Source organism: Homo sapiens, chromosome 7 (assembly GCF_000001405.40).
Source record: "Homo sapiens chromosome 7, GRCh38.p14 Primary Assembly".
NCBI lineage: Eukaryota > Metazoa > Chordata > Mammalia > Primates > Hominidae > Homo > Homo sapiens.
The window spans coordinates 119479690-119502936 of record NC_000007.14 but is presented as its reverse complement, the minus strand read 5'-3'; the positions used below and the strand labels follow the sequence as shown (position 1 = coordinate 119502936).

General features: G+C 35.2%; 1 long non-coding RNA gene across 2 annotated transcripts in view; it reads left to right on the top strand.

Moving 5' to 3' along the window:
• Positions 1–2833: 2833 nt before the first annotated feature.
• Positions 2834–23247, top strand: part of LOC124901816 (uncharacterized) — a 39766-nt gene continuing 19352 nt past the window's right edge. Inside the window, exons 1-2 of one of the 2 annotated variants that reach the window (XR_007060647.1) lie at positions 2834–2963; positions 16897–17015. This is a non-coding gene — a long non-coding RNA (uncharacterized LOC124901816). Of the gene's footprint in view, positions 2964–16896; positions 17016–23247 lie in introns of those variants that run through there. The other variant, XR_007060648.1, reaches the window with a different exon arrangement.

Here is a 23247-nt window from a genome sequence, read left to right as displayed (position 1 = left end):
ATTTATGCAGCCAACAGACACATGAAAAAATGCTCATCATCACTGGCCATCAGAGAAATGCAAATCAAAACCACAATGAGATACCATCTCACACCAGTTAGAATGGCAATCATTAAAAAGTCAGGAAACAACAGGTGCTGGAGAGGATGTGGAGAAATAGGAAGACTTTTATACAGTTGGTGGGAGTGTAAACTAGTTCAACCATTGTGGAAGACAGTGTGGCAATTCCTCAAGGATCTAGAACTAGAAATACCATTTGACCCAGCCATCGCATTACTGGGTGTATACCCAAAGGATTATAAATCATGCTGCTATAAAGACACATGCACACATATGTTTATTGCAGCACTATTCACAATAGCAAAGACTTTGAACCAACCCAAATATCCATCAATGATAGACTGGATTAAGAAAATGTGGCACATATACACCATGGAATACTATGCAGCCATAAAAAATGATGAGTTCATGTCTTTTGTAGGGACATGGATGAAGCTGGAAACCATCATTCTCAGCAAAGTATCGCAAGGACAAAAAACCAAACACTGCATGTTCTCACTCATAGGTGGGAATTGAACAATGAGAACACTTGGACACAGGAAGGAGAACATCACACACTGGGGCCTGTTGTCGGGTGCGGGGAGCGGGGAGGGAAAGCATTAGGAGATATGCCTAGTGTAAATGATGAGTTAATGGGTGCAGCACACCAACATAACAAACCTGCACGTTGTGCATTTGTACCCTAGAACTTAAAGTATAATTAAAAAAAATTAAAATTAGTATAAATATTTACTTCAAGAAGGGCTTATAAAATGCACATTTCTGTTAAATAAAATGGCCTTGACTAGCAAGAGTCATAAGCCTTTGTTTTTTATTGATATGAAAATTAATGAATTATTATAATATTAATAATTCAAATGAATAATTATTTCTTTTCTATATTTTCCAAAAATCACTCAAAAACAAAAGTAAATTATCACAAAAATATTACTCAATAATATGTATTAAGTAAAATTTGAAAATTCAAAGTAATCTAATTATCTAATGTTAAGTGTTAAATCATAGTACACAAATACTATAAAATATTATACATGTAATTAAAATAATGATTATGAAGATCAGGTATAAAAATAGAAGTGTCCTACTGTAGTGAAATGAAAATGGCAGATTATTTTGATTACTATGACAAGAAACCTGGCTGTATGTGTGGATTTTAGGATGTCAAAATGAAATGCATTCAAGGTGGTCGCATTTTTATTGTTATTATTATTTTCTATTACAGATTCAGGGAGAAAATTTTTTAACTAATAAAATTTCATTTAAATCACAAGTGATTATTTTTTTTCACTGTGAAATTGAGATTTATCTTGAAAATTCTGATTTGTAACACTAAATATTAGTCATTTAAATATACAGAATATTGAAATAAACTTCCATCTTTAATAATCTAAATAGATTTTAGACTTAGCTTTAAATTTAGAAACAATCCAAAATATTAAAATAATATCCTGAAATGTTTTTCTATAAAATAAACAACTATCCCTGCTTTTAGGCATAGCATTATCCTGGTCTTATAACCTGCTTCCCTGAAATCTAGGAAAGAGATCTTGGTATCCCCACAGCAGGTGACATGGTTTCAAGGGACTCAGAGAGACAGGGTCTCACTCTGTCACCCAGGCTGGAGTAAAACGGTGTGATCAAGGCTCACTGTAGCCTTGACCTTCCAATCTCAAGCAATCCTCCCACTTCAGCCTCTTGAGTAGCTGAGAGTAGAAGCAGGCACTACCACACCCAGGTGGTTTTTAAATTTTTTTTACAGATGGGATCCCACTATGTTGCCCAGGCTGGTCTCCAACTCCTGGGCTCAAATGGTCCTCCTGCTTCAGCCTCCCAAAGTGCTGGAATTACAGGCATGAGCCATCATGCCTGGCCTTGAATTTAATGTTTTACTTTTATTATGATGTGTATGATTAAATGTTGGCAAAGATGCTTTATCATATTTGGACATTTTTCCTATATTGCAATTTCACTTTTATGTTTTAAATATTGGCTGATTTTTATCAAATATTTTCAGCCCTTAACTATGTGTTTATAACATAACTGATTAATTTGTGTTAACAAGGCATCTGAAATAGGAAATATTTTTATATGAAATGCACAATCCTAGTCTTGTATTTGTATCAGCTAAACCTTAGTTGAATATGGTGAATTATATTATTTAAACTCTTTTACCTTCAATTTGGTGTAATTTTACTCATTTTTAATAATTAAACTGGTAACTAAAATGTATTTACAGAGCATATGTATTATATTTGTCAACCTGTGATATTAGCCTAATGAGGGATTGGTATTTTTCTGTAGGCTGTGAACATTTGCATAGCATTGAACATTTCTGTTCTTTGAAACTTAACTAAATTTCTCAAAAGAATCATATGGTAGTTATGACTTAATTACTAATGGGCATTTCTAAACACCTTCCTGATGGAGGATATTATTCCCTCATTACCATATGTCTCGGTGTTCTACATTTTAAAAAATTAACTTTAATTATTTTTTGAATATTACCCATTTTCTCTAAATTTCCAAATATTTTAGTCTTTATTCTATTGTGATTATATATCCCTTCTTCTGACAGTCATTTCTTTATTTTGTACTTATTCTGTACTTATTAGGTATTTGTCTATTTTATTTATCTATTCAGGTCACTTTTCAGTAGTTAAAAATCCATTAATTTTACTGTTTAGTTGAATTAATTGCATTCTCCTACTTTTATGTTTCATATTTTTGTGCTTAATTTGTTTCAATCTTTTATTTTTCTTGTTAAAAGGAATCCATTATTGTTTGCATTATCATTGACGACTGTGAGAATCTGCAGAAAAAAACAGTATGGAACTACAACTTCACGTTCTTGAGAAAAGCTTGCAGTGTAAGATGCGTTTGTTTGTGGTGCCTGAGGAAGAGAGGTTGGTGAAATTGGAGTTGGACTCAGTGAATCGGAAATAGTTTTGTTTTTTTTTATTATACTTTAAGTTTTAGGGTACGTGTGCACAACGTGCAGGTTTGTTACATATGTATACATGTGCCATGTTGGTGTGCTGCACCCATCAAATCGTCATTTGGAGTTAGGTATATGACAGGAAGGGGAACATCACACACAGGAAATAGTTTTAATTCTCCAATGGAACTCACAGTGAAGTTGTCAAGTCCCCTGATTTCTCAACTATACCAACTAGTTCAATAAGCAAAGAGAGTATGCTTGTGCCTACTTGTTGCACAATGAAAAAATCAAATAATTTCATTGATTCCAGCAGCAGAAAAGAGAGTTGGTAGTGCTGAGCTGCTGAAGGTTCATTACTGCCTAGCCTTGAGAATGGAGGCCCCACTGGGTACTCTTCATAAGAGATGCCCCAACTCGTCAAAGGAATTATGGTAATCTCCTTATTTTCTGTTTTACATTCTTCCCTCTGCTAATCTCAGTACACTCATATACTAAGTTTCTTGTCTGTTAAGTGATCTCACATGTTTTGAAACCAAGTTCAGATAAACTCACAAGTGGGTTAAGGGGCCAGAATAGTTTAAAAGAAATACAATTACTTCATTATCTCCCTTACACGTGAACTTTAAAATGTTGACCTTATAAAAGTAGAGAGCAGAATAGTGGTTACCAGAGGCTGGCAGGTAGGGGCATGGGAGGTGTTGATCAAAGGTAAGAAATTTCACTTAAGGAAGAGGAATAAGATTTTGAGATCTATTGTACAGAATGCTGACAATACTTAATAATAATATATTGTATATTTCAAAATTACTGAAACAGTAGATTTTAAATGTCCTCACTACAAAAAATGATAAGTATTATAGGTGATTAGATATGTTACTTAGCTTGATATAATCATTAAATGATGAATATATATCAAAACATCAAGTACAATTATTATTTATCAAGTAATTTTTTTAAAAAATAAAAGGAAAGACAGGCAGAAGGAATTATCATTGCTGTGTTGATGAAACAGAATGAACAAAAGATAAATTTTGTTTCTGGAATTTAAAAATGAGAGTTTCTTAATTTTAAAAATGTGATTCTGTAAGACAAGACTTGGAATGGCAAATAAAGATAACATTTTACAGAAATAATAAAAAATGCAATGCTATAAAAGAACTAATAATATCCCATGAAATAAATAGAAAATATTCCAAAAGTTCAAACAGAATTCAAATAAACAGATGAGATCAGAGAGAGAGAGAGAGAGAGAGAGAGAATGTTAGAATACGACCGTAACAGTGAGAAATAAGATCTAATTATTCATGTTATATTTAATTGCTTGCTCAATCTTAGAATGTGCAATAAAAAATTTCAGAAATGCTAACCTAAATTCTGCAAAAATCTTACTAACTAGACTTTAATATTTGTTTAAAAGTGTGTTTGTTTTGAGCTTGAGGATATATAGTCCAAATGTAATCCTCATGCTTTAGTTAGGTTAGTTCATTAGCTATTCCAGGGTGATCATATTATTTATTTGAATTTAGTTTGGTTCATCTATTTCTGTTTGAATTTTATTTATGGTACCTTTGCCATAATTATTGATTATTTTTGTTCTCTCACACTCTCTCATACCTGAAATATTTACATGGTTCCAATTATCAGAAGCATACCATAATGTATATTCAGAGAACTGACATGTTACCCCCTTCATTCTATTATTTTCACTATGTTCCCATCCACCTCTGCTCTCTGGCTTAGTATTCCCACTTTTGATTTTAGAGGAGCCACCAGAATGTTTTATTATCTCCTCCCATTTTTAAACACCACATAGAGTATAGTTTTTTATACTTTTATTTTACCTAAAAATAGCCTGCTACATATAAAAATTATATATACAATTATAATGTAATCATACTATATTAACTTAAAGAAAATTTTCTCTTTTTTTTTACAGTTACATAGTACTCTTTTGTGTCTGTATACATTTCTGATTTAGTCAATCTCCCTTGTTTTGACATTTAGCTAATTTTAACTATAATATTTTAAATAGTTTAAACACGAGGGCTCATGCCTGTAATCCCAGCACTTTGGGAGGCCAAGGCAGGTGGGGATCACGAGGTTAGGAAATCGAGATCATCCAGGCTAACATGGTGAAACCCTGTCTCTACTAAAAATACAAAAGATTAGCAGGGTGTGGTGGCACGCATCTGTAGTCCCAGCTACTCGGGAGGCTGAGGCAGGAGAATCGTTTGAACCTGGGAGGCGGAGGTTGCAGTGAGCCTCACCACTGCACTCTGGCCTGGTGACAGAGTGAGACTCTGTCCAAAAAAAAAAAAAGAAAAAAAAGAAAATTATGATTGTTGCATACACATACACACACACACACACACACACACACACACACATATATATATCCTATCTTCTGCTTAAATTTGTGATATCCTATCTTTTACTTAGATTTGTGGAAGTGAAATTGCTTAGCCGTAATATACTATGTAGATTTTTTGGATAAAACCAAATATCCTTCTTTAGGAATGTGCAAACTGGCATTTCCTCAAAAGTTCATGGGAGTGCATTTTCCACATATCCTCACCACAGAGCGCTGTAATTCCTCCATCAGCCTCTCTCTCTCTCTCTCTCTCTCATCTTTCTATCTAAACTTGGCTAAAATGGCATAAAATAAATAATATCTCAGTTTATATTTATACTTCCCTTATAATAAGAAAAGTTAAATGTTCATATGTCTAAGAGCTTTTGACATATTTTTGTGAGTTGTCAGTTTACATCTCTGCCCTTATGTTTCTATGAAATTTTTAGTCTTTTCCTCTCAATTTGTATTAATTAAGAAAGTCTTTTATTGTAAAAATAATGTTGCAAATATTTTCTCCCAGTTTTTCAATTGTATTTTGGTGTTCTTATATGGTGTTTTTGCTTTGCAAAGTTTTTCTTTTTCTTTTCTTTTTTCTTTTTTTTGGGATGTAGTCAAATGTTCCACTAATTTTTTTCATTGCCTCTGAAATTTTATTCAGACTTAGAAGAATTTTACCTACATAGGGTTATATAGGAATTCATCTCTGTTTTCTCTCATCCTGGAATGCTTTGATTTCTTTAAAAGAGTAAATGCTACATTTATTTTAATTATTATTTTATATAATGTGAGAAGGGATTTAATTATATCTTTTTCAAAATGGCAAACTGATTGATTGATTTATCCCAGAGCCATGCATTACAAATCTCCTCATCATCTCAGTGTTTTAAGATTCTACCTTTATCATAAACTAAAGTTTATTTTTTACTTGCATTTATTTCTGTTATATAATTACTTCTTTATCCTATTTCACTGTATGTCTGCATGCACCAATGCACAGTTTTAATTGTAAGGTTTTATATAGTATGTTTAATATTGGGTAAGGCTAATTTCTTCCCCTATACTACAACTTTCTTTTTAGTATTTCCAAGTTAATTTTGTATATTTACTTGTATATTTTTGTACATTTTGTATACTTTTATATGTTTATTATCTTTCTTTTGTATATTTTATATATTTATTTTGTATGTTATTTTTACATATAATTTCAGTATCAACTTGTCTAATTATGTAAAGAAACTTATTAACATATTACAGAGATTGCAGTCATATTATAAATTAACTTATAGGGAGCTAAGCTGTATTCTATAAAGTTTAAGCATTTTACACAAAAGTAAAAGACTTCTTCCCATTTTAATAATTTTAATTTTATATTTTTCAGGCCTTTTAAATTTTTTTCATGTAGATTTTGCACATTTCTTCTTACACTTATCTCTTAGTATTTTATAGTTATTGTTGAATATTGATTTTATGTGTTATTATATTACCTGTTATTGCTTGTGTATATGTATTAGATATTCTATTTTAATGTTTGCTGTTCTATTGAATTGTTTTATTTTAATTTAGTTTTATTACTGAATCTCTAGGGTTTTCTAGTTACAAAACCTTATCATCTGCACATGTAAATAGGTTTGCTTTTTGTTTCTGATTCTTATGTCTCTAAATGATTCATTATGTCTAATGGAATTGGCTAACCTCTACTATTAAGTTGAACATTAGTAAGAAGAGTGCAATACATTCTTTAAAATCTTAGGAAATACAAGTAGTGTTTCTGAATTAAGTAAAATACTGATTCTAGGACTAAGATTATATAAAATTCCCATATCATGTTAAGAAAGTAAACATCAATGACCAATTTTGTACTTTTTTTCATCTCTCAGGAATAAATTATACATTTTGCAAAGGACTTTCCATCTTCTATAGAGGAAAAATAGCTGATTTTTACTTTTAGATGTATGAATATGGTGTGCAGAAAGAGTTAACACATAGCAGACCTGATTTCTATCCTTCAAAAGGCCTGTTTAAAAGATTAGGCTTGGCCGGTGCTGAGAACTTAGATTTTGGAAGGATTACCATCACTCTGATGGATAAGAATGGCTCACTGTGCCTAAACTGCTTGTACAAACAATGCGGTTTATGCTAACATTTTTCTTTCCTTCTAGGAGTCTGGAATTTTGATAGGTGCTACGCAGAAGGTGCCTTATGACTATCCCCTAATAGAAATCCTAGGCACTAAATCCCTAATGAGCTTCCCTGGTGGACAACATTTCATATATGTTGTCAAAAGTTGTTGCTGAGGGAATTAAGCAGAGCCCATATGATTCCACAGGGAAAGGACTTCTAGAAACTTTCATAGCTGGTTTCCACTGGACATTGCCACATATGACATTTCCCTTTACTTATATGCTTTGCATCCTTTTACTGTAGTATATGATAGCCATGAATAAGACTATGAGTCCTCCTAGCAAATCATCAAACCAGAAGATTCATGCGGTTTTTATATCAATGGATTTCCTAATATTGTATCAACATCATATTCCCAGAATAAATCACACTTGATCAAAATGTATCAGTTTCTTAATGATGTGTTGTATTCTGTTACTAATATTTTTACATTTCAATCAGTATTAATAACTGATATTTGTCCATAATTTTCTTTTCTAACTGTATTAGGTTTAGGTATAAATGCCATGCTTACTTTACAAAAAGTATTAGATTTTCCTTAATTTTTTGAAATTTTCTTTTTTATAAGGTGCAAAAAATTTCAAAATCATTGGGACTATCCAGGCTTTGAAATTTTGATACAAGTCTTCCTTGAAATCATCTGGGCTTAATAAGATTGATTTTGAGGAAGTGTCGTGATAAATTTTTCTTTTCCTAATAGAGAAATTAGCTTATTTAAATTTTTTACATATAGTAGGGTCTATTTGGGCAAATTATATTTCTGTAGGAAATTATCATTATATCTTTCAAATATATAGCAGAGAGATTGTAGGATTTTTTAAATGCATTGTATGTCATGTCAATGGTTACTTCCTCCTTGTCCTTTATTATACATATACCTCGGTTAAGGTAGCTAGTAATTGGTCTCTCTTGAAAATTTTTTACCAAAAAATATTATTTTTATTTAGTAATTATATAATTTGTTTCTCAATTTAGATAAATTGATAAAGCAAATATTATTTTTTGCTTTATCTTTCCTTTATTTTTTATCTGTTTTTCTTTTCTCATCTTGTTTAACATGAAAATTTCATTCACTTATAATTTTTATTTTTATTCATAAAAGGGTTTAGGCTATAAAACTTTTTCTGGCTACATTCTTGAATGTATTACAGGTGTCCTGATATAGACTACCTCCATTATCCATGATTTTTATTAAAAAATACTTTTGGATTGTATTTTACCTTTAACCCAAGAGTTTAATTTAAAAAGGGAAAGAAAAATGATAGAAGTAGGCCAGGCACAGTGGCTCACACCTGGAATTCCAGCATTTTGGAATCTGAGGCAAGAGGATTCTTGAGCACAGGAGTTACAAACTGGCCTGGGCAACATAGTGAGACTCTGTTTCCATAAACCAGTTTTAAAAGTTAGCCAGCTAATTTGGAAAGATGGCTTGAGCCTGAGAGGTCAAGGCTATAGTGAGTCATGACTGTGCCACTGCACTGCCGCCTAGAAGACAGAGTGAGACCCTATCTTAAAAAAATCATAGAAGCAATAATATCATAGTTATATACAATTAAAATATATTGCAAATACCAAAAATTTTACTCGTTTTAATTTTCTACACTAATCATGTACAGCTGTAACAGTTGTACAGTAAACAGCTGTATATAGCCTTCACTTCTCGCTAGACGTCTTATCAGAAAAGAACTTAAAATTTATGGGAAAACCTTGCACTTTGTGTTAGAAACTTAGTTTCTTGGCTTTCTTATTTCTATCTGATGGAGGGCAAAGAACTTCAATAGTTCACAGGCTATGCTGAGACAAATTAGAAAAGAAACATAAAACAGAAATATTTTGTGTATAGCACATTGCCCAAAGATGAGACAAATTGGTCTTTCTAAAAATGATATGGTGCAATGGAGACATTTAAGAGCTTGTTAGCAATTCCTACAGGTCCCAAGAGGCTCAAAACAGTTCACAAACAGAACAGAATATGATTTAGTATATTTTCAAAGAATTCAAAAGTTTTTGTAACACTCACTCATGAAATCTTCAGGGAAAAACAAACTTTGCTACTCTTTTTATTTGGTAACTTTCTATATTCTCAGAATAAGCTTGAAAACCATTTTATGTTGGCCCCAATATCCCACAAATCTGGCAACACTGACAGGAGTCATGTCATTCTGACAGTTGGACCTGACTAAACTAAGTTAGTGGCCATGGGTGTCTGTCAATTTTAATGATGGTAGGCAGATTTCCCAAAATGGTAATCACTCCGAAGATGTTTTTTTTTTTATTTTTTAAAAATTAATTAATTAATCAATTTTTGCCTGTTTTTGGCACTTCTAGCAAGTATTCTCTTAGTATTCTTTTTTTAATATACTTTAAGTTTTAGGGTACGTGTGCACAACATGCAGGTTTGTTACATATGTATACATGTGTCATGTTGGTGTGCTGCACCCATTAACTCATCATTTAACATTAGGTATATCTCCTAATGCTATCTCTCCCCTCTCCCCCCACCCCACAACAGGCCCTGGTGTGTGATGTTCCCCTTCCTGTGTCCATGTGTTCTCATTGTTCAGTTCCCACCTATGAGTAAGAACATGTGGTATTTGGTTTTTTGTCCCTGCGATAGTTTGCTAAGAATGATGGTTTCCAGCTTCATCCATGTCCCTGCAAAGGACATGAACTCATAATTTTTTATGGCTGCATAGTATTCCATGGTGTATATGTGCCACATTTTCTTTTCTTTTTTTTTTTACATTTTTTTAACATTTTTTTAAAATTTATCATTATTATACTTTAAGTTTTAGGGTACATGTGCACAATGTGCAGGTTAGTTACATATGTATACATGTACCATGCTGGTGCACTGCACCCACTAACTCGTCATCTAGCATTAGGTATATCTCCCAATGCTATCCCTCCCCCCTCCACCCACCCCACAGCAGTCCCCAGAGTGTGATGTTCCCCTTCCTGTGTCCATGTGTTCTCATTGTTCAATTCCCACCTATGAGTGAGAATATGCGGTGTTTGGTTTTTTGTTCTTGCAAGTGCCACATTTTCTTAATCCAGTCTATCATTGTTGGACATTTGGGTTGGTTCCAAGTCTTTGCTATTGTGAATAGTGCCACAATAAACATACGTGTGCATGTGTCCTTATAGCAGCATGTTTTATAATCCTTTGGATATATACCCAGTAATGGGATGGCTGGTTCAAATGGCATTTCTAGTTCTAGATCCCTGAGGAATCGCCACACTGACTTCCATAATGGTTGAACTAGTTTACCGTGCCACCAACAGTGTAACAGTGTTCCTATTTCTCCACATCCTCTCCAGCACCTGTTGTTTCCTGACTTTTTAATGATCGCCATTCTAACTGGTGTGAGATGGTATCTCATTGTGGTTTTGATTTGCATTTCTCTTAGTATTCTTTGTATTCCTACTCTTCCTTTTTGCAAATTGCCTATGTGCAATCATCAAGTATTTTAATGATAATTCCTGTCTTTATTTCCCTTATATTACTCTATTCTCTCCATGTCAATGACTTTCCTTCCAATATCATGCACTTACTCCATACAGACCGTTTCAAAACTTGTCCATTCTCCATTCCCTCCAGCTTCCCCTCAGTAATTGGTCAGTTAATAAGCCTTTCTGATCAAGTCACCATCTGTCACTGGAATTGTTGCAATAGCCTCTTGACTGGCCTTTCTGATTTTTGCCCTTGCCCCTCTAAAGTTTATTCTTAACAGGACAACTAGTGTGACAAAACAATCAATCAATCAGTCAGTATTGTCCTTCCTATGATGAAATGCTTCTATTCCAATGGCTTCTGTTGTCTCTAAGAGTTAAAGAGAAATTATTAAAATATCTATTAATGCCCACATTCTAGTCCTTTAATATATGCTATATATTAAATGTTATATATTTATAATATTATATATGTATAATATTTATATTTCCCTCCTCCTTTATAGCATTTCACACTACCTGTGGCTTCACTGGAGTTATTGCATTGAATTTGCTGCCCTTTTCTTAAGTCAAACTTTTTGCTCATGGTGAAAGGAATAGAGAAAGAGTTTCTGAGATTCCTGTAAAATGTATATTATTTATTAACATAATACAGCACCTAATAAATTTTGGTAGGTCATCTTAAAATAAATAATGGGTCAATTTTTAAAATATGCTTTTTGAAAAAATATTAAGATCTCAGTAAGGCAAAGTGATTCTTTAAATTTCATATAATAACCACATATCAGAACTAAAACATACATTTATTTCTCTCAAAATATAAATTATTGGCTCTCTACTGTATCACACCATGGTTATTTAAAAAACAGTAATTATTCTTGATATAGTAACCACAAATTTGTATTGACTGGTTTTAAAATCTATACTAACCAGGAGAACATTTTAATATACACTAACATTTTAAGTTGAGTTTGTTAAAACAGAAGGGAATTTATATACTCTCTGATATATCATGTAAACATTTTAAGTGTAGCTTTTTTCTTATAAGAAGATTTTGTCAATTAAATAATTTCAAAGAAAAACGTTTTTTTCTTTTATGGCATACAGTTAAATTCTTTCTCTTTGATGTACAGTTCTCTAAGTTTTTAAAAATTCAATTAGTATTGTACCTACCACCACAATACAGATACACAACTCTTTCATCACTGCAAAATATCACACTTTGCATTTGTGTGTTTCAACCCTACACACACCTCTAACACCTGACAATCACTATTCTCTTTTGATCTGTTTTCTGTTTCTACAGCTTTTCCTTTTTAAGAATGTCATATGATATGGTTTGGCTCTGTGCCCCCACCCAAATCTCATATAAAATTGTAAGTCCCAGTGTTGGAGAAGGGGCTAGGTAAGATGTGATTAGATAATGGAGGCAGATTTCTGCTTGCTGTTCTTGTGATAGAGGTCTCAGGAGAGCTAGTTGTAAAGCGTGTGGTCTCTGCTCTCTCTCTTCCTTCTGCTCCTTCCTTCTGCCATCTTCGTGAGAAGATGTGCTTGCTTCCTCTTTGCCATCTATGATGATTGTATGTTTCCTGAGGCCTCCCCAGCCATGCCTCCTGCATAGTCAGTGGAACTATGAGTAAATTAAACCTCTTTTCTTTATAAACTTCCCAGTCTCAAATAGTTATTTATAGCAGTGAGAGAATGGACTAATACAGAAAATTGGTACCAAAAAAGTGGAACATTGCTATAAAGATACGTGAAAATGTGGAACAAGCTTTGAAACGGGGTAACAAGAAGAGATTGGAACAGTTTGGAAAGCCCAGAAGAAGATATAAGATGAGGAAAATTTGGAACTTCCTAGAGACTTGTTGAATGATTGTGAACAAAATGCTGATAGTGATATGGACAATAAAGTCCAGGCTGAGGTGGTTTCAGATCGACATGAGGAAATTATTGGGAACGGGAGTAATCGTCAAACATTTTGCTCACTGTAATGCTTTAGCAAAGAGATTGGAGGCGTTGTGTCCCTATTCTAGAAACCTGTGGAACTTGGAACTTGACAGCGATGTTTTAGGGTATCTGGAAGAAGAAATTTCTAAGGAGCAAAGCATTCAAGATATGAGCCGGCTGCTTCTAATACCATATGCTCATATGCACAAACTAAGAAACTGGAACTTATATTTAAAAGGGAATCAGAGCATGAAACTTTGGAAAACTGGTAGCCTGACCATGTGGTTGAAAAGAAAAAAACAATTTTCTTCGAAGAAATGTAAGCTGGCTGTAGAAATTTGCATAAGTAAAGAGGAACCGAATGTTAGTAGCCAAGAAAATGGAGAAAATGCCTCCAAAGCATTTCAGAGACCTTTGTGGCAGCCCCTCCTATCAAGGCCTGGAGGCCTATGAGGGAAAAATGGTTTCATGGGCCAGGCCCAGGGTCCCACTTCTCTGTGCAGCCTCAGGACATGGCACCCTGCATCCCATCTGCTCCAGCTTTAGTCATAACTAAAAGGGGCCAAGGTACAGCTCAGGCCACTGCTCCAGAGGATGCAAGTCAGCATCCTCCAATGTTTCCATGTGGTGTTAAGCCTGTGTGTGTGCAGAGGGCAAGAGTTGAGGCTTGGAAACACCTGCATAGATTTCAAAGGATGTATGGAAATTCCTGGATGTCCAGGCAGAAGTCTGTTGCAGGGGCAGACCCCTCATGGAGAACCTCTACTAAGAGAAATGTGGAGCTGGAACTCCCACACAGAGTTCGCACTAGGGCACTACCTAGTAGGGCTATGAAAAAAGGGCCACTGTCCTCCAGACCCCAGAATGGTAGATCCACTGACAGCTTGCACTGTGCACCTGGAAAAGCCACAGGCACTCAATGCCAGCCCATGAAAGCAGCTGTGGTGTCTGTACCCTGCAGAGCCACAGAAGTGGAGCTGCCCAAGGTCTTGGGAGTGCACCCCTTGCATGAACATGGCCTGGATATTAGAAATGGTGTCCAAGGAGATTATTTTGGAGCTTTAAGATATTTGACTGCCCTGCTGGGTTTCAGACTTGCATGGGGCCTGTAGCCCCTTTGTTTTGGCCAATTTCTCCCTTTTGGAATGGGAGCATTTATCCAATGCCTGTACCTTCATTGTATGTTGTAAGTAACTAACTTGTTTTTGACTTTACAGGCTCGTAGATGGAAGGAACTTGACTTGTCTCAGATGAGACTTTGGACTCAGACTTTTGAGTTAATGCTGGAGTGAGTTAAGACTTTGAATGATTGTTGGGAAGGCATGATTGTGTTTTGAAATGTGAGGACATGAGACTTGGGAGGGGCCGGGGTTAGAATATAGTTTGGCTCTGTGTCCCCATCCTAATCTCATGCTGAGTTGTAATTTTCAGTATTGGAAGAGGGGCCTGGTGGGAGGTGATTGGATCACGGGGGCGGATTTCCCCCTTGCTGTTCTTGTGATAGAGTTCTCATGAGATCTGGTTGTTGTAAAGCATGTGTCACCTTCCCCTTATGTCTCTTCTTCCGGCTCCTGCTATGGACACATGTCTGCTTCTGCTTTGCCTTCCACCATGATTGTAAGTTTCCTGAGGCTTCCTCAGCTATGCCTCTTGAACAGTCTGTGGAGCTGTAAGTCAAACAAATATCTTTTCTCCATAAATTACCCTGCCTCAGGTATGTCTTTATAGCAGTGTGAGAACAGAGTAATACATCATCTAGGATGTAACCTTTTGAATCTGGCTATTTCACTTAGCGTAATATATTTGAGATTTATCATAGCTATTATATGTTTCAGTATTTTGCTGCTTTTCTTTGCTAAGTATGGATATATCACAATTTGTTTATTTGTTCACCCATGGAAGTTTTTTTTTTTGGTTTAGACAATAATGAATAAGCCACTATAAACTTTGTGTAAAGATTTTTGTTTTATGATAAGCTTCATTTATCTTTGGTAAATACCTAAGAGTGGAATTACTGGATTTTATAGTAAGTGTGTAACTTTATAAGAAACTGCCAAACCATTTTTCAGAGTGAATGTACCTTAAAGGTACATTTAATCTTGAATTGCATGTCTGTGAAATAGCAGAATTTCCTGATACTTATAAGATGTTTTAATCTCATATGAAGAGCTATGACCTAGAAAATTTCAGCCTTTCAGACTAAACATTTTCCAGATTTGTCAAGTTGATTTCACAGTATTCTGACTTGTATCTTAATAATGGAGACATAGAGCTAATAATGAATAACAAGTTAGTGGTAAGTTAAAATATTTTTTAAATGAATGTGTCCTTCAGTATTTTTCTCATTTAAATGATTAATATGAGCTTCAAAATTTTAATTTAATTCCAATATTAAAGTATAAATGAAACTAAACATTTCAAATACATTAAATATATTAAAGTTGAACTTGAGAAAACTTTGAGAGTAATTTTTAACTTGAAATATTGTAACAGTGCAGCTCTTACTGTGCAGAGCAAATCTGGTGAAATTAATTTGACACCAGTCTTAAAAAACTACATTTTGTTTTCAAGTGACCATTCTAAGGGAATTTTAACATTTATAATCATTGTTTTTCTTCAAGAAAGCTCTAAAATATGGAACACATATGGAAATATTCCAGCTTCATTAGGTGAAATATCCATTCCACCAAATAACCAAAATGGATCTAACTTTGGTATATGTTCGTATCTGCTGAAGAAGAATTTCATGAAGGTCACCTGAGTCTTAGTATTTCACTATGATTATCATCTCCATATGGTGTCATTGAGAAAGCCAAAGCATTTGTAATGGTTTGCCAAAGATTCTCTCTTAAACCTTTAAGCACCATTTAAGGTGTTTTATTTTTTCTGTGATTATTTCTTTTACTTAACTCTTTATTAACTTTTTAAAATATCATGTACCTTAAAATTTTACCACCCGATGACATTCTCTTTCTTATATTCTCCTAACAATTTGAAATCTTATATTGTCTTATTTTAACTTGTATTTTGTCATCATCTCTTTTAAATAAGTCCATTCTTCTAATTCTTAATAGGTAGACATAGAAAATGTCTTCTGTATTTGTGTTTTACATGACCTTTGGCTTATAAGGCATAATTATTACTTGCTGTTAGGCAGAAAATTTGCAACTCAAACCCAACTGTTCATGTAAAATATGAAGTGAAATATTATCTCATAAAAATGATTCTTCTCTGGAAACTTAGCAAAATTTATCCCGTTGCACAGGCTTGAAACATTGACTTCCCTAACTTTCCTCTCTCCCTAATATCTACTCAACCGTTGTTCTATCAGTTTAAGATCCTGTATGTCCTCCTTCACTGATGCTCTTCATTACAGATTTTTTCTGCCCTCTTTCTAAAATAACATTCTCATTTCAGTTTTCTGCCTACTTCCTTGATTATTTAGTGTTCTGTTAACTTATCTCATACTTCTGCATTCATATACACCTTATATTATCCTCCAAATAAATGCTTATTTTACTCAGTTATATTTCAACAACTGCATTGGTTCCATATTAATAATCCTAGATTGGTTTATTTCATTTTAATTAAGGCAAGCTAATGCCTTTTTTTGAATTATTTTCTTTTCACCGCACAGGAATGAAGTGTGCTTTTTAAATAGATACTTTTTCTATACTTTTTTCATGCTTGTTAATTCATGTTGTTAACATCATGATCTCTCAATATTTTGCTTTAATAAAAATAGCATGCAAATTTTACACATGTATGATTCCCACATTTTAAAATGTTTCTGGACTATATTATGCATTTGTTTTCAACAAAAAAAACCTAGCTAATTTTTTGAAGTCTTATGATAAATTTTAGACTCTAAAAGTTAAAATTGATAGGGTAGCATCTTTAAAAAGTGATTTTATTTTATTCATTTTCATTATGACTCATGATCCTTTTATTATATTCCAAGAGAAAAAGAAGAAAAAGAAGAGGAAGGAGGAAGAGGAGGAAAAGGAAGAGGAAAAGGAGGAAAAGGAAGAGGAGAAGGAGGAAAAAAAATAAAATAAATAAAATACTACCTATAGTAAAGGGCATTTCTCAAACTTGGGTCTGACCCAGATGGCCTTAATCTTTCCCTTAGCTTGACTAAATATTACACGGACTTCTTGCTGCTTCTAGATTTCTGGACTTCCTCTCACTCTTGCCTTTATAGAATCTAGATGGTCTAAATTCTAGATTTTAGAGAATTTAAAATCAGAGAGGCCCCTCTTCTCTCTCTTTTTTTTTTTTTTTTTTTTTGACAGGCTTGCTCTGTCACCCAGGCTGGAGGCTGGAGTGCAGTGGCGCGATCTTGGCCCACTGCAAGCTCTGCCTCCTGGTTTCACGCCATTCTCCTGCCTCAGCCTCCCAAGTAGCTGGGACTACAGGTGCCCGCCACCACGCCTGGCTAGTTTTTTGTATTTTTAGTGGAGTTGGGGTTTCACTGTGTTAGCCAGGATGGTCTCTGTCTCCTGACCTGGTGATCTGCCCACCTAGGCCTCCCAAAGTGGTGGGATTACAGGCAAGACCCACCACGACCGGCCTCCCTTTTCTTAAAATATTTACTTTGGAAATCTGATGACTACAGATTTTTTTCCTCTGGCCCTTTGAGAAAGGGTTTTCAAATTAAGCAATTGACTTTTATAGTCCATGAATGTCTTAGCCAAGGACCTAGGAGACATCTCTTTGAAATATAATCATCAATGGAGATAGTACCTCTGTCTTCCAGTTTCTGTGGGGAGAGTTGAAGCCTAACTTCATATCAAGTCTAGCTCCAAATAGTAAAACTATCCCCTATCATGATGATACAAGAAACTTTACCTTTCACTTGAGTAAGCCCAACTAGCAAACACAGATGGCTTAAGGTTCTTCCAACCTCAGCTCTTAAAAACTCTCCAGGCCTTTGTTTCAACAGAGCTTAATTCAGACTGAATTTTGCTCCTCTCCTATATCACAGTAGCCTTACATAGTCTTCCTTACCTATGTGGCTTTCCAATGAGATTTTTACTTTAACAATGCATCTCTATCAAGATCACCAGGATCCTTGTCCAAAATCTCAATTTCTTCTGGCCCTGATACAGACCTACATAAGTAAAATTCCTGTGACTTGGCATTCTGTATTTTTTCATTAAATTATATGGATAATTACAGACTGAAAACAATTATTATCAGACCCCCACCCTGATAAGCATATCTTCAAATTTCTGGTTCCTAAAATTAAGTTCCTTTCTATATAAATTTATTTTCCAATTATTTGTTGCTTCAATATATGGTTTAATTAGTATTGAAAACACAAAAACACAAATTAACAAAAAAAATATATTTGAGTGCTACTTATCTTTTAAAGCCTGGCGTCCATGGAGCTCATTTGCATGGGTTTCTGTAAAAAAGTACCACAAACTGGATGGCTTAAACAACAGAAACTTATAGAGGCCAGAGGTCCAAGATAAAAGTGTCAACAGGATTGGTTCCTTCTGAGGTCTATGAAAGAGAACATTATTTATGCCCCTCTCCTAGTGTCTAGTGGTCTGTTGGCAATCTTTGCTATTCCTTGACTTGTTTGTATTAGGTTGGTGCAAAAGCAATTGCAGTTTTTGCAATTACTTTTAATGGCAAAAACTGCAATTACTTTTGCACCAATCTAATAGACATATCACCTAGAATCTGCCTTCACATTCAAATGATGTTCTACTTGTGTATGTTTGTGTTTAAATTTCCTCTTTTTTATAGAGACACCAGTTCTATTGGATTAGTGGCCCACCCTACTTCCATATAACCTCATCTTAACTAATTACATCTGCAACTACCCTATTTCCAAATAAGGTCACATTCTGAGGCCCTGGAGTTATGACTTTAACATATAAAGTCATATATATTTTTGCAGGATCCAATTCCAACCATAATAGATGCACATCTCTAAAGAAGTACAAAGACTTCAATCCCATCCTGTTCCTTCTTCTTACTGTGGAAACATGTCCCAATCTTCATTAGGGAGTTTGAAAATTGCTCAAATCAACTTTGCTGGCTTTGGGTATAACAACAGGTTTTATGCATAGAGGTGAGAAGAAAATTAGTTTTATTTCCACATGCTTTGTTTCATTACTACCACCTTAAGGTCCAAAGTAGACGGATAAGTGATGGAGAAGATAACAGGCCCATGGAATGTTTCTTATGAGAAAAACATGGATAAAAGAAAACTTACATCATATTTCCCAGAGGGCTGAGTAGAGCAAGGAGTGTGGTGAGCTTGAGGCATGCCAAAGAATAAGAGAAAATGCTCCGAAGAAAGAATGGGAGAAATGAGTTTTGATTAGCAAAGACATGGAATCAGCCTAAATGCCCATCAATGGTATACCAGATAAAGAAAATGTATATATACACCATGGAATACTATGCAGCCATAAAAAAGAATGAGATCATGATATTTGCCACAATATGGATGGAGCTGGTTATATGCAAACTAACGTAGGAACAGAAAAACAAATACAACATTTCTCATTTATAAGTGGGAGCTAAACATTGAGTACATATGGAAACAAAGAAGGGAACAACAAACACCAGGGCCTACTTGAGGGTGCAGGGTGGGAGGAGGATTGAAAAACTACCTATGAGACACTATGCTTATTACCTGAGTAATGAAACAATCTACACCAAGCCCCCGAGACATACAATTTGCCTATGTAACAAACCTGAACATGTAACTCTGAACCTAAAATACAATTTGAAATAAAATAAATACAAAGGATCCTTCCAATAAATAAAGTTTTTCTCTTCATTTATTAATGGTTTATAATTTTTTAAAAGTCTTAACAAGACATTTGTGTTAGTTCATTATCACGTTTCTGTAAAGAACTACATGACACTGGGTAATTTCTAAAAAAAAAAAAAAAGAGGTTTAATTGGCTTACAGTTCTGCAGGCTATACAGGAAACATGGCTGAGGAGGCCTAGGTAAATCATGGCAGAGGGTGAAGAGGAAGGAGGCACGTCTTACATGGCCAAAGCAGAAGGAAGCAACAGTGAAGGGGGAGTTGCTACATGCCTTTAAACAACCAGATCTTGTGAGAACTCACTCACTATCACAAGAACAGGAAAGGGGAAATCCGACCCCATGATCCAATCACCTCCCACCAGACTGCTCCTCCAACACTGGGGATTACAATTCCACATGAGATTGGGGGGGTGGGGAGAGAAATGAAAACCATATCAACACATTGTATTTTCATTCAAAAGTGATACTTTTAGTAAAGAAAAAAAAGAAAATGTATTTTCTAGGGAATGCTACCTCATGAAGGAATTTTGATTTCTATATGTTTTTATTTTAAAAGTTCATGGCATGGCAAAACAATGCAAGTGGAAACAGTAAAAAAAAAAAAAAAAAAAAAAAACAAAAAAACCCGACAACAACAAAAAACAAAACAGTGTTTCCCAGGGACTGGGTGCATGCAGAGATAAACAGGCAGAACACAGGATTTTTAGGGCAGTGAAACTACTTTGAATGTTAATACTGAAACACGAATTTTTGCTTACTCAGCCTGCAGTTCTTAACCTCTGGCAGGAGGGGGAGAATGCAGTTGAGCGGGTGCAGGAGCTGGGACTAGTGCTTCTGGGTGCCAGCAGGAGCAGAACTCTGTGCAGCTCCACGGCAGCATCTAGGGGGGTACCTGCAACCCCTGGAGCCTCAGAGGGGGTGTGTTACAGTGCTGTTTTAGCTTTGCCATCTGTTGACAGCTTAAATGTTAAACAGCTCAACTGTCTGCCCCTGTGGCTCCCAAGCTCTTGTTTGGCCTCCAGGAAGATTTAAGTCACAGGAAGGAATTGGAGTGTAGTGAATACAAAGGATTTTATTGCTGATGAAAGTGACTTTCAGTGGGAAGCAGAGCTGGAGAGGGGATGGAGCAGGAAGGTGGTCTTCCCCTGGAGTGTGGCCCTCCCCAGCCAGGCTCTTCTCCAAAGTCCCACCATCAAGCCATCCCTCGGTTGTCAAGCTGCTTCTCTCTGATGTCTGGCTGCTTCTCTTCTCTCCTTCTCTGCTGCTCTTCTGCCAGTGGAGCCTGGGGTTTTATGGGTACAGGCTTGGGAGTAGGGCAGGCCACGGTGCTTTTGGAGAAGGCAACATTTAAGAGGGAAAACAAGGATGTGAAATTCTCACTTTGGGTTGCAGTTCCAAGCTTGAGGGTGGGGCCTTCCTAGGGTCCACCCTCTTTTACTTAGCATTTCCCTGCCTCCAGTCCATATTGCTATGATGGTGGATACATGTCATTATACATTTGTCCAAACCTACAGAATATAGAATATCAGAGTGAACCCTAATACAAACTATTGATTTTCAGTGATAATGGTATGTCAAGGTATGTTCATCAGTTGTAACAAATGAACCACTTTGGTGGGGATAGTGATGATGGGGGATGCTATGTTTGTGTGAGGGCAGATATTATATAGGACATGTTTGTATCTTCCTTTCAATTTTGCTATAAACCTAAAACTGCATTTTTAAAAGTCTAAAAAACAGAAAAGTTCATGGTAAAGGACAATGTCATTTACAGAGCAGAAAGCCGCACAGAAGCATGAGGAACTGAACTATCTACAAATGTGCAAGACTCCACATTAAGGGCTGCTTTGGAATCTGAGGCATAAAGGCTGATCTCGTTGCAGGCCTGTGTGGCTATACTAGAGAAAGCTCAGGGAAACATAATTGGAGTCTGAAAATGATGTGACCAATTTATAGACAACATCAGCAACAGAGTGAAAAGCCCTCTGCCTTTATATTTTTGTTAAATAAAATAGTCACGACATATCCCTGGGGTTTTAGGACGCAATTGGGAAACCAGGAACTACATCAGCTGAACTTGAATATGGTTAGTGTAAGTTCAGGAATGAATAATTCTTACTGTTGCTGAATATGATTTAGGCTAAGAAAACAAAACTTAATTTTTCATCAGGGAGTCAAATCAGCTAACAGTGTACTAATCTGACATTCAAGAAAAATAAGGCATTGTGAAGCTAGGATGGCTCCTTCTCTTTACATTTCTCTTCAGTAAGAAAGACGCAAGCAAATGGAGTGAAGGGGATCCCTGAGCTTGATCAGGATTGGCCAGAGCCAGGGAAGGTTGGAGACAAAAGTCTCTAATATGCCTCTTGGGTAACCTGCATGGTCCACAATGAGGAGTGCTGTAGTCATTATGACATTAATCCATTACATATTTCAGAGATTATACTGTGGAGGGAAGGGAAATTCTCCCACGAATGGTAGGAGGAAAGGATTAAATGACAATTGTGATGCACTCTTTCATCTGAAAGTTATCCATTTTCCAGACACAACATTTGCCGAAAGTTCACCTGTATCTGAAAATACCTCCAGGCAAACGTGAATTACTCACATTTTTATCTGAAGAAGAAGAAAAGAGGGATTTGGAACTGATAAATGAAGTTGAGGAAACAAAAGATGGAGAATTAAGGGCATCAGATAATGTCATTACTCAGCTGGGATCTACATGTTTACCAAGATTGACCAGGAGGATATGTTAAGATAATGAGAGAGAAAGAGAAAAAAAGAGAGAGAGAGAAGAAAAGGAAAAGGAAAAGGAAGGAAGGAAAGAAGGAATTGATTATGGAAGGAGAGATGAAAAAGATGAAGAGAAATTAGGAGTTTTTGAGCACCCATGTAAGCTCAGCTACTGGTGTTTCTGGGCTTATTTCAGTTTTAGGTAGTGAGACTGGGGAAAAGAGGATTGGGGTAGCCAGATAGTTGAGGAAGAGCAAAGCAAGGGTTTCATAAGATTTTCTGTGTACTATGTATGTCCGACCCCATCAAGTAATACAAGTAAAATGTCTGATATGTATCTAAATTCCCTTCTCTCCCTGTGCTTTCTTAACTATGATAGTGTTCTTCAACTAAATCCTATGGATTTCTTGGTTCATATACATTTACACATTTTCAGTTCAGTTTTCATACTAGGTTATTCATTCTTGAATTTTTGCACAACCACCTAAAGCATACTTTACCCTTCCATTAATAAATGCAACACTGTGCACCAGCAATTTTTTTAAATGTTAGATGTTGAAGAAGGTAGAAATTAATATGCTTACTCCTAAGCAACTCCTGCCCCTCAAGTGGTTCTTCCTCAAGTTTGGGGAGTGCATGGTAATATGTACTTTGAAAAATCTCCCTGTGCTTCTGATATGCCTTGTTAAAAGAACAACCTCCTTGTCTTCCACACTTTCTTTTAGCATTACTGTTAATTACCTGCAGAAAATGATAATTATGAATATTCATTTTCTAA